This window comes from Homo sapiens, chromosome 13 (genome assembly GCF_000001405.40).
Source record: "Homo sapiens chromosome 13, GRCh38.p14 Primary Assembly".
Taxonomy (NCBI): Eukaryota; Metazoa; Chordata; class Mammalia; order Primates; family Hominidae; genus Homo; species Homo sapiens.
The window spans coordinates 85,655,718-85,672,414 of NC_000013.11; the positions used below are offsets into that span (position 1 = coordinate 85,655,718).

Below are 16,697 nucleotides of genomic sequence, written 5' to 3' on the forward strand. Positions count from 1 at the left end.
ATCTAGTGAAGAATGAGTTTTTCTTAGACTCAAACTTTTTCACAATGCTCCTCTGAATTTATTTGCTGCTAAAAATGTGTACTTACCATATGAGCTATAGAAAAAAATAAGCTACTGTAATCTCAAAAGCTCAGTTGAGAAAACGTTATTTATGAATAATTGTCTGGAATTTACTTAATTCATCTATTAGTCTAATACCCTGAAATCTATTTTTGGATTAAATCAACCAATCAAAAAACCACGTATCTATAAAATTGGTTTTAGGAATTGGCCTTTGTGTTAATTCCATCTACAGAATATTTGGAGCAGTATTATGAGAAATATTTATAAGAAACTCATCCCCTCAATTTTATTTTAAAATGTTATTGGAAGGATATTAATTAATCAATATAATAATAAAAAATGTAAATTACCAGGCAATAAGTTGAAGGCATTATTATAGAAATGTAGTATAAAATAATGGTGAAGAGATTAAATTTTAAAATTTTGCGGTCAATCATATCTAGGTTTTAGTTACAGCTTGTTTACTTAACACATGAGTGATGTTTGGCAAATTAGTCTTATTTTGTTTCTTCATCTTTATAAGAATGTAACAAAACATCACATGTAAGTCACTTGGCAGGTTTCATAGATCTGAATAAGAATTCATTAAATATCAAGAATTATCATTTCTAATAGTCTTTCTTTTTGAAGGCTATATGAAGAAAATATATCTGTGGTCTTAATTGATGAATGGTTATGCGGCACCTGAAAACTGTTTTATGTGACATAATCTTGTGATTTTTGTAGCCGTTTTTGCTTCCATTTTTATTTTACTGCAAAAATTTTAGAGCTCTGTATGTACCTGCTTCTAGAAATGGAATTTGACATTATGACTTTCCTGTACTCTTTTTGAAAATAATTTCACCTTTGGCTCCTGTTTAAAATTAACTAGTTTATTACTACTCTGTGAAGCACCTGTGCCAGTGAAAAAATCATATAAAAAGTCAGAAGCCACTCTGTTTAATCAAGTAAAAGGTGCTTAGGATAATATTAGGGGTTTAAAACCACTGAAAGATCAAGAGAGTGGTAGTGAAGAGAGCTTCCACAATAGAGGATTTCACACCAACGTTGTCAAATTGAAGCAGTGAAATCTGTTTCTCAGGAGCTAGTTTGTAAATTTCTGCAGTTGCCAAGATTCTCTAAGGAGGTCCTACCAACTACTTAGGTTGCAGTGATGAAGTAAATAGTTCTCAAGAGCCGGGAGACATGCTGTAAATCTCTCCTCTGCATAAGCTTCAGGATGCAACTGCTTCTCAGAAATAATGGCTTCTGTTTCACTTCTTTGTGCTAAATCACACGTGAACGCCTGTTATTGGCACACTCCAACTAGGAACCACATACAGGGAGGAGGATTCTGGGAAAAATAATCTTTAGCTTTAGAAAAGAGTGGTGGTGCCTAATGGGCAACAGGTAAGGAAACACATCACCTTAAATACTGTTTCATTCATTCAACACAAATCTAGAGTATCTAGTACATGCTTGCCAGATACTCTGAATACAATGCATGTCGTTTCTGATATAAGGAACTTTAAGGAAGGCAGTAATTGGGCTAGATGTCATAAGAATAGTGAGTACTGTCAAGGAGAATTCCAGAGGGTTGGAAAAGAAGTTAACAGGTATAAATATTACTAGGGGTAGAACAGTGGAGTTAAGGAAATAAAGTCATGTTAGTCTTCTGTAAGCACTAGATGTTTAAACTGAGAACTAAAGGAGAAGGAGTCAAAATATCATTTATTATTTACCTGGCAACTTTCGTTTATTTCCTTTGTTCTTACAAAAATCATGAGACAATTATGAGTGTCTCCATTTGACAGATAGAGAAACTTATCTAAAGTCACACAGCTAGTAAAGGGCAGAACAAGAATGTGATTGAAAAGTTTACTAATTCAGTGTTCTATGCTTTCCATTCTTCTATACTGACTCTCATATCATCCAGGGTTACATTAATAAAGCAGGTACAATACAAACAATATGGAGAGAAAAATTAACTTTGTTGTTTTAAGAATTGTAGGTATAAATGATAATCTCACAAAAGCATAAAATTAAATTTTATATATTTATTTAAATGCAAATGCAGAAAAGATACATGTGATGCAGTAGAATGTAATTTAACTCATGCTTGTATATGTAAATGGAGGAAGAAAAAATGAAAAATATATGGAGAGAGAAAGAAGAAATGAAAGAAGGAAGGAAGGAAGGAGGGAGGGGGGAAGGAGGGAGGGAAGGAAGGAAGGAAAGAAGGAAGAAAGGAAAGAAGGAAGGAAAGAAAGAAGGAAAAGACATTTTCTGCTTTCTCAGTTTATTCAGTCAACAAAGATAATTGATGATCACCATAAGCCTGTCCCTATTCTAGGAGTTGGTGATAAAAAGCTAAATGATTTATGACACTTGCAGTCAAGGCCTGAGAGGAGAGGCAGGTAAGTAGTTAATGATGACAGATGTTACTTGAATGTGTCCTCCCATCTCCCTTTCTCTTCTGATATGTACTCTCCTACCTGTGTCACTTAGTTTCTCTGTATTTTAGTGCTTTCTGCTAGCCTCTCCATAACTTTTACTTTCATTCCACAACCAGCCCACTCAAAATCTTTATTATTATAAAACCATTCAAAACATTAAACAACCCTGGTTTAAATATTAGAAGAGCATGTGATAAAATCTATAAGGAATATGTTATGAATAACTAAGTGTGTCTTAAAGTATTAGATTTTCCAAATTTGGTTGTATATTAAAGAATTTATTTGTTATAACACAATTATGCCAGAACATCAGGAGCTTTATCTGAAAAGTAGGTATTTCTGCACCTTGATAATTATAGTACAGAAGTTGACTTACTATCCATTTTCATCTCCATCACAAAATTATTGACCCAAATCAGCCAGACCAAATAAGTCCTATACCTGAAAGTTCAGTTCTCTAATACACTGAATGTCTAGAATCTTTATTTCTGGAAGTACTTCTTACTGGGAACATTATAAATAAAAATAGATTAAATAAAATACAAATTCCTTGTGTAAGATAATAGTGAAAATGCTCTATAAATATAAAGCATTATCCTAATTATCAGCTTAGAAGTATATTATATTGAAATAAGCCAAAGAAGGGGTAGGAATTTATGTCACTCATGGTCCAACCAAAGAAACATAATCCAACTCAGATAATTAAATAGAGAGAATTCAATAGAAGAATCTAATCATGACAGTTGCAAAAAGATGCAATGGCCAAGAAGGTGAAACACAAATTAGCAACAGATTAAGGTACTTCACCCACTGGGCTCAAGGTTCAAAAAGAGGAGTGGATGTTACCAGAACTCAGCAACTTGAACTGCCTGGTGGATTCTAAAGCTAGCAGTTGCTTCTCAGAGAGGGCATGTAGTCACTGCCAGAGGTGTCACCTGAAGTGAAGAGGGAGATAGTGCCTTGGCTTCCTTCACCTTTTGTCCTCCAGTCTCCTTCCAGAGCATCCCAGTGATGAAATTTAACTGAAAGATAGTTCCCAGTGGAACCAGGAAATACAGTTTACAAGGGTCATCCCTTGAAACTCAGAGCAGAGTTGGGGGAAAGTGAGGTTTCCAAGCAAACAAGCAGTGACTAGCAAAACACCATTTTGAAATGGTTACTCTTTTTTTCCTCATTTCCTAAAATTGTTATGAACATTAACTTACATCTTTGTTAATACTATTATAAATGAGTTAAGACATGCTCTGAAATGAATTGTGTATTTTTTAATAAAAAATCAATTTCTCAGCTTGATGAATCTATTTGTACATGGTGTCCACATATTCCAATGATTATAAATAGAAGTCCGTGTTGTTTACCTGGTTAAAACTCAAAAAGGCTTCCCAATGAACTTAGAATGAAGTAGACAGTTGGCACTCTTTTCTTCTGGGCCCTCTGAGGCTCTTGCCAACTCTTACGAAACCATGTCTCATTACTTTCCCCTCAAGCTACTGAATTCCTCTTGCTCTGGCTGTCTTCCTCTTTCTAAAACAAATAAAACTTTTCCTTCATCATAATATATTTAAATTTGCTGACTGTTTTGCCTGCTATACTTTCTTCGTATATGTTTTAGCTGGCTTAGCATTGAGGAATCAGCTAAACTTCCACACCCTCGGAGTAGGCTATGTGTCTGTTCTACCTAAGGAAGTCTTCTTATCACTCTTCCATGAAAGTCAGTCACTTTCTACATAGCATATTCCAATATCTGATATTTTCTTTTTTTGCTTGTTGGTTTCCACTAGAGTTGAAAACTCTCCCTATATAGAGACTTGTCTTGGCTTCTAATGAATCTGGTCCCCAGCAACTAAAAGAAAATGTTTGGCACATATGGACACTTCATAAATATTTATTAAATGCATAAATACATACATGAATGAATATTGTATTGCTGGACTTTAAGCTCCTATTTTGTTTCCTTCATCTGGCCCTGCTTTGCTTGCTGCCTTAAGAGGCTTGCCACCTCCCCTAAGAAAAGATACATTTAAAATTGATTGTTTAAGTACCAAGTCACTATCTAAACAGATAAAATTGGTTCACATGGTTATTCTTTTTAAAAATCAGCTACCTAGATCTCTCTCTCTCTTCCTTTGCTTCAGGAATGGATGTGGTCAACAGATTCTCCAAATCTCACTCCGGATTTCCAGAAACGTTTTATGGATTTTTTTCATAAAATTCGAAACTTAGATTCAGAAAAAGAAAAACTCATGCAAGTGTCTTCAACTCAGCTAGCTTTTCAAACTGAATTTTCTCCAAAACAGGGAGTATTGAGTGCTTGCTCAGCTATATTTAAATTGGTACTTGGTCTCCCCTTTGTACTTTCATCTAGGTGTGTCTAACTTCCTTGGCAAGGAATTCCAATGTGAGAAATGTTAAAAGATAAATTTTAGACAAATTACATTTAACAGATTTTATTTGAGCGTTGAACAATTCATGAATCAGACAACAGCCAGAACCAGAAGAGGTTCAGAGAACACTGCCCAGCAGCATGAGCAGCAAGCTTTTATAGGGTGAGCATGGAAGCAAAGTACAGAAACCACCTGACTGGCTACATCTATACATCTCCCTTACTTGGGCATGGTGTGATGAGGCATTTGTCTTATTTGGTCATGGTCTGATCAACTGACTGCCTGTGATTGGCTAAAATTCAGCAGTTTATTACAAAATATACTCTTAAATTAGGGTTTAGTTTGTTTACACACTAAAATAGTTTTCAGTTTGTTATTTAGTAATTCAAAGTACAGAGACAGCTTTAGGCTGGCAGCCTCCTTTTAATTAATTTAACAGGAAAAATGGATGGTAGCATAAAAAACTTGCTCTCTTTTCCCTAACACTGATTTTCCACTACATTCTTATCTAGTGCATTTTTTAATTTCTTCTTTTTTATGCAAATGCAATAGTATAAAAATTGAACATGTGATAGAAGTTGTTAAAAATGTTTACTATTTGGCCGGGCATGGTGGCTCACGTCTGTAATCCCAGCACTTTGGGAGGCTGAGGCAGGTGGATCATGAGGTCAGGAGATCGAGACCATCCTGGCTAACATGGTGAAACCCTGTCTCTACTAAAAATACAAACAATTAGCCAGGCATTGTGGCGGGCACCTGTAGTCACAGCTACTCAGGAGGCTGAGGCAGGAGAATGGTGTGAACCCAGGAGGTGGAGCTTGCAGTGAGTGGATATTGCACCACTGCATTCCAGCCTGGGCAACAGAGCGAGACTCCATCTCAAATAAAAAAAAGTGTTTATTATCCAAAAAAGATAAAACAATGAAAAAACAGACATGAAATCATGGCAAACAAAGCTATGATAGATGAATGAACTGTATGCCTTTCCTCTACAGTTGGCCATTGAATGCTCAGTTTATATGCTGAAGGAAAGTCTGTCCTAGGCCTTTTTGTTTTAATTTTTGTTACATGTATCTTTAAGTCTACTTATTAGAAAAATGAACCTCATATGGTTTGTATAACTGTGGCTTGTTTTCCCACCCCTTTCCATGGTGTAGTCCCTAATGCTGTATTTGAGTCTCATCTCTCTTTCCTTCCCATCTCTCTGAAACTTCCATTCTACTGTCTTAATAATAGCCTTGGCTCCATTCCCACTCTTCTTTCAGCTCTGGCTTGTGTCTTGCTTTCCCCCTGGCTCCAAGCCCTGTTCCCACCATCTTAGCCCTTCCAACTTCAGCTCCTTCAGTAATTTTCACTGCACCCCACCTCTAGCTACAAATTTACATTCTGTTTTGGCAAACATCCACACTTTCCTGCCCAATCCCAACTGCCTAATATACAGTGCCATTAAAATCTCAGAAATTAATCTTGAATTCTTTCAACTCTTCATAGATTTAATTTTTCCAAGTTATGTGTATTACTGGAACTATTCTTAATATCACTTTGACTTCCAAACATGTAGTTCTTTGGGCCACATGACCCATAACCTCAAAAACTAAATTCTGTATTTTCTGCCTTCTCTCTTATATTATTATTATTTTTCCTTAAAAAAAGCTCCATTTCTTTTGGCCTGGAGATGTTAAATTAATTCCAACATGATACTTTAAAACCTCTCAGCTGTAATGCCTTACCACAATCACAGACAAACCTGAAATCTTCCCAACACATATCTTGTCCAAATAGTAGCTTGTTCCTTTTTATTTTCAAGTTTCCAAGTCCAGTAACATATTTCTCTTTCCTACAAATTCCATTCCTCTTCTCATAGGCATTGTCTGGAACTGGGTAACATCTTTCCTGTTATTCCCATGAATTATTTTTATTTGCACTGTTCAGCAAAAGAAGCCACACATATTCATCCTCTGGCTTCACAGAGTGGCTGTGATTTTTTTTCCTGCTCATTCACTTCTGTGCTGTCAATCTCACATCCCTGACAGGGAGGGCTCAGTTCCACTCACACAGAATTCCATACCAAACCTCTCATGCTTAAAGGTTACCAAAGTTCAAAAAATTTTTCATATGAGCCCCCAAAGGAAAAATTAATTCTTTGTGTTAAGGAGTTTGTGATATGCACTGCTGTCCAAAGTATGAGGCCAATTCAGGCATCCATCTTGCCTGAACCCAAGGATCTTGCCTGGAGTAGAAGCTCTTTCTTACAAAACAAGTGGCAGATTCTGCTGAGTACAGCCTCTGGCTGCAGGGGCAGGTCTGGTCAAACACAGGACAAGCCGCAGGAGCTAGAAAATTACCATGTGGGGAGAGTGATGGGGTGGACTTGGTAGACAGATACCTCAGATCTTTCAACTCTTAGGTGGACAAGCACTAAGTTGGCTTCTAAATACATTTCTAAAGGTCCCCAGTGGGACTGGGCCCAGGTTTACCACAGCAGTAAATTTCTCATGGAGGCACACTGTATTGATTATCTCCCCTTATCTCTCTCATTTCTCCTTTTCTTCATGATTACCACATAAACCATCTGCACTCACATTCATGTCTCAAAGTGTGTTTCTGAACTCTAAGAGTAAGACTGCCATTTAATTTCCATCCTCTCCATTATTCTGTAGCATACTTTTACATGCTCATTCAAGTTACCATCGAAAAGTTGATAAAAAGTCTGAAAAAATCCGGTGAGGTTAGAAACTCATAATTGTACTAGTTACTAAGTAAAGACTACTGTTTTTTTCCTCAGTGTGATGACATTACATTTATTATCTTCATCATTATAAATTGTTTACTCATTGATAATTAACTTTATGACCACATTTCTACTCAGCAGTCTTTTTTGTAGGCATTTAGTTAGCCCATATTTCAATGAGGATTTAGTGCAGATATGAATGTTGTTAATATTGGTTTTCCCAATAAATAGGAGCTTTCAGCGCCTAATATTCCCCAGTCATCATCGTGAGGGCTTTATGAATATTTACACATTTCATCTTTAAAACAATCCTACGAGACAGGTAGTATCATTATCCTGGTTTTTCAGAAGAGTTCTGAGGCAAAGATAATAAGTAGCACGGCCAAGGGATGACAGTTAATGAGTGGCAGAGCCAGGAATAGACTCTCCCTTCCCCCGTCACTGCAATCTCTCTTTAGTACCCATGTACTTAACCATTATGCTGTATCAGTTATACATTTTCCAATAAAATAAAACTTAAGTTATCCAGAATAAAAAGTCATCCAATTAAAGAGATTTATTTTAGCATAATGAGCTACTAACGACAACAAAAAATTCTTAGCTGTCAGATTTTCCTCACCAGTATTGTTTACACTGAAATGCCTGCTATTTAGTCTTTAATTGGTATACATAAGCAATCCCATTTCTGTATGCATTTACTAATTTCTTTCTTATCACTAATGTTTTATGAGGTTACAAGGAAATATCATATTACACAATACCCAGCATTTATGTTGAAAAAATATTCCATATTGAACAACTTTGCAACCTCCTTCCTTTAGACATCTGTGACATTGATCTCATTCATTTCAACCCATTCTCCCTGTAGTACCTGCCCCCAGTGAGTCTCCTTGTCAAAATACCCCTGTGGACTCCTGTTTCTTTCTTGGAACTTATGGAAAAATAATATTACAAAAATGAATTATTACTTCAAAGAGGTTGATTAAATAATAAAAATGAACACAAAAAGCACAAGAGTAACAATAACAAAACTCTTTAATATTCTACAATTATAATGAGAAAGTTAATATGTGTATATTCTACCATGTGCCACACAGTATGCTATGCATTTTATAGATGATATCTTACCCCGCTCTAACAGAATTCCTTTGAATTTGTCAGCATTGATTCCATCTGACAGAAAATAAAATTTAAATATCTGAGAACTCTGCCAGAGTATCTACCTCTTTCCATTTAACTACATTGGAACAATCTAACTCATGGATAACCCATATGTAATGTGAATATAATTCTCAATTTACCAGCTAAATCTACTCAGTCACTTATGGTCAAGCAGTTTTATAAAAGCAAGTAGTTTAACCAGTTATTTTCACATTTATTCTAGCTCTTTCCCAACACAATATCTTATCTCTGTTATTTACAAACAGAAAAGGAAAGTCTAATACGTATTATTCAACTATATGATTATTTGTAAATTCATTCTGATAATAGTTAATAGTTCAAGGAAATGATGCAGCGAGTGGTCAACCAATGAATATCAGCTATAGGAAATGATCATCTAAGCTTGAAATAGCAAGTGATCAACTGATGTATATTAGCTATAGGAAATGAATTTTGCTTAGCTAATAAGAGAGTATAATCTTATTAAGAATGAATAAGAGGAGTGGATAATGTTCATAGTCTTGGAAAATTCATCCATGGCAATATGAAATATTTCTAAAAGGTAGTCATCATTTTACTCTTTTTGTATAATAAGTTTACAGGGTGAGCAGACTTGAAAAATAATATATCATGCCATGCATAGTTACTCCTGAATAGAATTAGAATTCAACATATCTGTAAATTAGTCAGGAAGAAACATAATTATATGCAAAGTGAGGAAAGATGCAGGATAGGGTGGAGAGTTATGTTGGAAGAAAAAAATTAAGCATCACAATTGTGTGATGATTATATGCAGATTGGTACTAAAACCAAAACTGTGAAAATAAAATAGAAAAGTAGTATGAGCAGGCAGTCTAATGTGGTTCCTTGCAAAAAGAAAAGCGTATGTCACAGTCAACTCAATTATTTTTTGTGGCCTATATTACATTTTGTGCTGAGTCATGTTCCACTGGGGTTTGAAGTCGAATGGCCTTTCACTCTCAAGTTCTCCACTGCATGGCTGCTTAGATGTAGACGTGACTGTAGGCAGACAGATGAGTTACAAAGTTAAAGCGTGTTTATACACAAAGAATGTTGGCAGGTGGCTTTTTATTCTACTTAGATGACTCAAGAACTGTTGTGGATGTGTAAAAAAAAGTAAAGGTTTTACTCTGTGCTATAGAATGCTTCTGTATGTATCAAAGTGTAAAGTATGTATCACATTAAACTATATGCTAACATACACTGAAAATATTAAAACACAGTTACAATGTTAGAATATTTTAATTATTTTTATAACTATATCTTTATAGTAGTAATGCTAATAATGTTATCGAACTTTTATTATATTTGTTTTGTTAAAATACTACGTATGGTTATAAAAACATAGTAAGTATAAATATATGTATATTTCTCAGAAATCCTTTAAAAAACAGGTAACTTTTCATGCATTATTATTTTTAAACATTTTAATTATATGCCAAATAAATACATTTTTAACCAACCTTAGCTTCAATAACATATACACTAAAAAATTTGTATATAAAACATTTTGCCATCTGACTTCAAATTAGCAGGTCTGAACTGAGGATAATATTAAAATTGACATTCCAGTTAATCCAGGAAACAGAGGAGGCCTTAGGTATTGCATCAGGAGTTAGGAGAGTCAGAGTTATAACAAAGAAGATCGTGTGGCTCCTTTGAAGAAAAAGTGAGAATAAGCAGCAAGATTAAAGCCATAAAAAACTAGAATAATGATTGACTCAATTTTGATGAACTGAAAAGGCTATGGATAACAAGAGTTCCAGAACTTCCTTTTCTATGAAGTCCTGTGCCTGCTCATTGAAAAACAATGAATCAGTCTAGACTTGCAAGACGAAATAATTCCCTCAAAGCTGGACATTTATATATTATTTATGTAGCATATTTCAATATTGATGGTATAGCCTCATATACAGTTGATTGTAAAACCATTCTTTCTGTTAGAGTAGGTAGGCAGACATGAGCAGGGCAGGAGAAGCCCACCCACACATACCAGGAATGTCAAGAGAGCATCAGGTGATGGTCAGGCAGCTGTTAAACTGCCTCTCTAACATAATAATTGATTCCAGCTGGTACCGGTGAAAGGCAGTCTCCCAACAGATAGAAAACACCTGAAGCTGGTGATCAGCAGCTTTAGAAAACACGGGAAGCTGGTGATCAGCAGCTTCCAGATAAGATCTCAGCACTCTAAGAGACAAGATGGTGGAATTTAACTAGTATATGACCTTTCTTTAGGAACGCTCAACTGGTAAGATTTTACTTACATTTCCAGATACAATTCATTGTTTTCTCCACTGCGTTCAGTAGAATTTATTAATTATTATCTTAGAAGTATTTTGATTTTGAGTTTCAGCAAATTTATTCATTTGAGGGTTGAAATTTAATCCTCTTATTATATTTTTTGTTTAATCTCAATTTCCCTTTCCATCTTTTGTTTCCAAAAGTAGCCACTCTGGTCTGCCCCAGGGTTATTTTTGTTGTTTCCATATGTTCTTGTGTGTAAATGCTGAACTTTTTACATTTATTGAAAATATCTTTTCCCTGTTGTGCTTCCATCTGTATAATTTCTACTAATTTATCTTCCAGTACAGCTTTCAACTCTATGCATCTAAATTTGTTAAGCTTATCTTTTCAGTTTTTAAAATTAGTTGCTGTATTAAATTCTAGTACATTTATTTCCAATTTACCCTTATTCCTAGGGTATAGCAATTCAGTGGATCCAACTCAGATCCTAGGTATTTTCCAGTGCTTCTCATCCTTAATGCTCCTTGAATTGCAATTATTCTTTTCTTTTCACTTTGATCCTAACAAACTTTGCATTTCTCTTCTCAGCCTCTTAGACAACACTCTCTAAAAAACCTTTTACCTCTAACCTAGTGTTGATTTGAAATCAGTATATGCCTCAAGGCAAGAAGGAATATAGAATATTGGGTTGACCTTTATATGTCCCTTTTCCTCAGAATTTTAGCGTATGAAGTTCTAAATGCCTTTCTGACCATTTATTCCAGTACTTGTATCCTCTGAGCCCATGAGACTGTTGAAAGCTCACCTTACCTAGTACTTTTTACACACCCCTCTAATCACATTAAGTTATTGCTCTGTGTGGCTTACTAGTAGACAGATGACTTCAGGAAGAAAGCAGAATACAAGATAAAGCTCACCTCAAAGTCTTCTTTCTATATCCATTCACTGAGCCCCTCGAATCCTCACCGTCTTTGTAGTCAAACAGCTTTTCTTGTTGTTTTTAGACAAATATGTTGGTCTTTTGTAATCAAATCATATATTCCAGAAGAGAAAGTCCTTCATCTCACATAATTTGTCTTCGACCTTTTTAGATGCTGTTCCTACTATCGGGAACACCTTTCGCAAATTATTTACCAAGTTGAGAGTTTCTAGATATCAAAGTTGATTAAAGTGTTGTTACTTTGTAATTTATATGAACCACTTTATATAGATACATATTTCACTACTTTATATGTAACTCACTGCTTTATATATAACTCATTTATATATTTCTGTATAACTCATTTTATGTTCAGGATGTTATATATGTGTGTATATTTATATATGTATATATGCATTATATGTGTGTATATGTGTAATTCTACATTTATGAAAATACTGTCACATATATAACAAATATATATTATACATATATAGTTTTACTTCGTTTCAATTATATCATGTTGCCTAAAATAAGGTATGCTTTAAAATGATGTCTTCGTATGATTTCAGATAGATTAAAAAGATTATAAAAAAATAGAAATAGATATAGAAATCAGTCACAACTTTAGAAAAATAAGTGTAACTTTCTGACAAAATTAAATTGATATCTGCTGGAGCCCATTTACCATCAGGGAATATTTTAGGCCTGATAGATTGTGTCTTTGACTATTAATATCCCAGTCTGTTGTTCATTAAACATTCCACCTGAACAGATACTTAAGATCACCTGTAGAAAGTAAGAACATTTACTCTAAAATCTTCAAGACACCTAAGGAGAAGTGACAGCAGGAGCTAACCAGCTTGTAGAAAATTATTCTAATGAGCTTCCAACATGTTGTTTTTTCTTTTAACTTGAAAAGGGTCTATATTGTATTCAAATATAATCCATATAACAAATTTTATGCTCTTTATGTTTTATGCTCATATGTTCTAGTTCTGGGGATGTAACAGTAAGCAAACTGTAACAGACAAAATAAATCTAATGATTATAGCATCATGGAAGTTAACATGGGTTCAGAAAAGAAGCAAGGAAGGGGGCTAGGAGAGTGTTAGGAAACGAAATTTCTAAATATGGTGGGGACTCACTGAAAAAGCAACAGTTGCATAAAGACATGAAGGCAAGGGAGTGAGCCAAATAAGTATATGGGGGCGGAGCTTTATAAGCAGAAGAAAACTAGGAGAAGGCCTGAAGGTGAAATTTGCTCTGATAAGTGCAAGAAAGATACACAGTAAATAATAGGAAAAGTAGTTGGAGAAGTATTTAAAGAAATAACTGAGAGACAAGAAGAGTTTGACAATGGGGTGAAAGGAGCTTCTGGAGGGCCAGGTAGCCCACTGTAAGATCTTTTACTTTGAGTGAGATAAGAAGTTGACCACTGACGGATTTGATTAGAGATGTGGCATGATCTTAATGACATATTAGAAGGTTAATTCTGTGTGAAGAGTGAAATCGTTAAAAAAAAAAAAAGGCAAAATTAGGGATACTAGTCACATGGTGGCTCAGGTGAAACATTTTGCCTTGAATTCTGGTCGTGGTCCTGGTGATGACCTTGGCAGACGTCAAAACCTTAATATATTTTAAATAAAAAGCAGGATTTTCTGATGGAGTACTACATGTGGGTTGTCAGAGAAATAAAGTAATTAAGGGTAATTCAAATTTTTTTTAAGTCTAAACAATTGGAATAACAGCTTTTGAACAAAACCTTTAAGGAAGCCAATGTGGGTCAGAAGTCAGAAGTTTCTGTTTAGACATCTTACTGTTAAGTTAAACACACAGGTGGAATGTTTTACTAACAAGGTGAATATAAAAATCTGAATTTCAAGGGTGAAATGGTCTTAAACTGTGAATTTAAGATCAATTCACAAAGCAATCATATTTAATGACATGAACCTGGAGGAGGTAAATTAAGGGAGTGAATGTAGAAAGAGAAACTGAATTTAGGAGAGCTGAGGAGAAACAAAAATAGCAGGCAGGAAGAATAAGTGAGGTAAGTGGAGAATAAGAATTAAATAAAGAAAGAATTTAGAGGAAAAAGGAGTAGTGAATCATACCAAATGCTGGCACCCAGGCTGTAAGCTGAGGACTGAGAAATTATTAGTTTAATATGAAGTTTGTATGGTTAAAAATGGACTCCACTGATGTGTTTTATAAAGAAGTATTGTGTTAGAGGTGAGGCCAAAAGATAACATGGCCCAATGTCAAGAGAGAATTAGAAAAAATAGAATAGAAACAGGAATATGAACTGAATGAACATAAATGAATCAGCATCTGAAGTGGAATATAGGATCCAGCCTTATTGCACGTTAGGTATCCCTGCTGTTGTAACCCTAATATATACATATCTTAGTACAGGTTTATTTCTCATTTTTCTAAAACCCAAAGGATAATACCTGGTTGTGGCCTTCCTCATAGTCACATAGAGATCTACTCACTTTCACTGAGTGGCTGTGTCCTCATTTGGAAACTCTGATCCCAGATGACAGATGGGGAAAGATAGTATGCAGGAGGCATCCTGCTTCTTAATTTTTTTTTTTTTTTCCCCCGCGAGACCATGTCTCACTTTGTTGCACAGGCTGGAGTGCAATGGCATAATCATGGCTTACTGCAGCCTTGGCCTCGACCTCCCAGGCTCAATTGATCCTCCTGCCTCAGCCTCCCAAGTAGCTTGGATTATGGGCATGTGCCACCATGCCCAGCTAATTTATATTTTATATTTTGTAGAGATGGGGATCTTGCTATTTTGCTCAGGTTGGTCTCAAACTCCTGGGCTCAAGCAATCCTCCTACCTCAGCCTCCTGAAGTGCTGGGGTTACAGGTGTGAGCCACTGCAACCGGCCTTTAAACTTTTATGAAAAAAATGGACACATTTCTGTTCACTTTGGTGACAACTAAGCACGTGGTCCCTTATACAACTACAGACACTGGGAAATGCAGTCTGTGTCCCTGGGAAGAGGATGGAGTGGATTAAGAGATTTGGTGTAGTTCACAGTGTTCTTCTCCATAGCAAGAGATGTAATTTGTTTTGTTTTTTATTTTGTAACATTGAATTTATCGTTGATATTTAAAAATTTTAAAACAATTTTTGATTTACATAAAAATTGGAAAGACAGTAGAGCAATTCCCATATACTCCACATCCAGTTTCCCATGTTAATATCTTACATCACTATGGTATGTTTGTCACCATTAATGAACAGATATTAATAAATTATTAACTAAAATCTATACTTTATTCAGATGTTGTTAGATTTTGACCTAAGGACATTTTTCTGTTGCAGCAGATTATATTACATTTAGTTTTTACATCTCCTTGGGGTCCTCTTTGTTGAGCTTTTCAAAGTGCCTTGTTTTTGGTAACCTGGGCAGTTTCAAGTCATGATTAAGTGTTTTGTAGAATGTACCTCAACTGGTATTTGTCTGTTGTCTTTCCTCATGATCAGTTTTAAGTTATGAATTGTGAGAGGAGGACCACAGATAGAAAGCAATATTGTCATCCTATCAGATCAAGAATGCATACTATCCATCTCACCTATCAATGTTGATGTGAATGCTGATCACCTGATCGCGAACCTTTATCACCTGGCTGATGGTTTTGTGTTTAATAGGAACACTAGCATATGTGTAATCCATTTGAGAAAATAGAAGAAAGTGGGAAATGGAAGATAAAAATGAATTAGGAAAAATGGTATTGATCCAGGCCACATGTGGACATTTTGGCATTTCGAAGAAACCAGGACAGGGCTTTCTTAGTAACTGAAGAAAAGTCACAATGTGGTGACAGCTTGCTTCCTATTCTCAGAGAAATGAGAAGCAAAGTCAGCCTGGAGTAGTGATAAGATATGTTTGCTGTTTGTGGAGAAGTGAGAAAGCGTATGCAATTGAGGATAATCCGTTTATTTTAAAAAGGTCCCCAGTTTGCCATGATTAGACTTAAAGATTTTTTAATTTTACAGTGATGTAAAAGCAATGTACATTCAGTAGAAACCATACTTTGAGAACCTATATAACCGTTGTTTTTAACTTCAGTGTAGTGTTCAATTAATTACATGGGATATTCAACACTTTGATATAAAATAGGCCTTGTTTTAGGTGATTTTGCCCAACTGTAGTAACACAGGTGTTCTGAGTTAAGCTGATCTATAATGTACAATAGACTAGGTATATTAATGCTATTTTGATTTAAGATATTTTTAATTTAGGATGGTTTTGTTGAGATATAACTCCATTATTAACCCAAGGAGTATATTTACTTGTCACACATACATATTTATACCTACATGAAAGTGTATATGCAAAACTAAAAGCCAAAGCGAATCACACATGTGTATTCCAAATACTATCAATTAACTCTGTATTGGTGCCTATGTTCATGAAGAGTATATTTGTGTGTGCATGCATTTTACACAGATTCCACTTGATCATTCGTAAGATCTTTGTTCACATGACTGAAAATCAGTTGTTTCATGCTGACAATTCATAACTATAGGAGAAAAACCCAAATATATTGAAATAAAGAAAATTCCTACATTAACACACAGATGTTTATTTTCAAGAACCAGAGAGGGCTGGGTGCAGCAGCTCATGTCTGTAATCCTACCATGTAGGGAGGCCAAAGCAGGAGGATTTTTTGAGGCCAGAGATTCGAGACCAGCCTGAGCTACATTGCAAGACTTCCTC

At 35.1% G+C, this 16,697-nt stretch overlaps 1 annotated feature.

The window, feature by feature from the left end:
- Positions 9,073-10,272: an enhancer, noted in NCBI's record as "MED14-independent group 3 enhancer chr13:86238925-86240124 (GRCh37/hg19 assembly coordinates)". NCBI's record gives its function as "activates an origin of replication core promoter dependent on BRD2, BRD4, P300/CBP and CDK7 cofactors, and independent of MED14, by STARR-seq in HCT116 cells {active_cell/tissue: HCT116}" and the evidence as "EXISTENCE:reporter gene assay evidence [ECO:0000049][PMID:35650434]".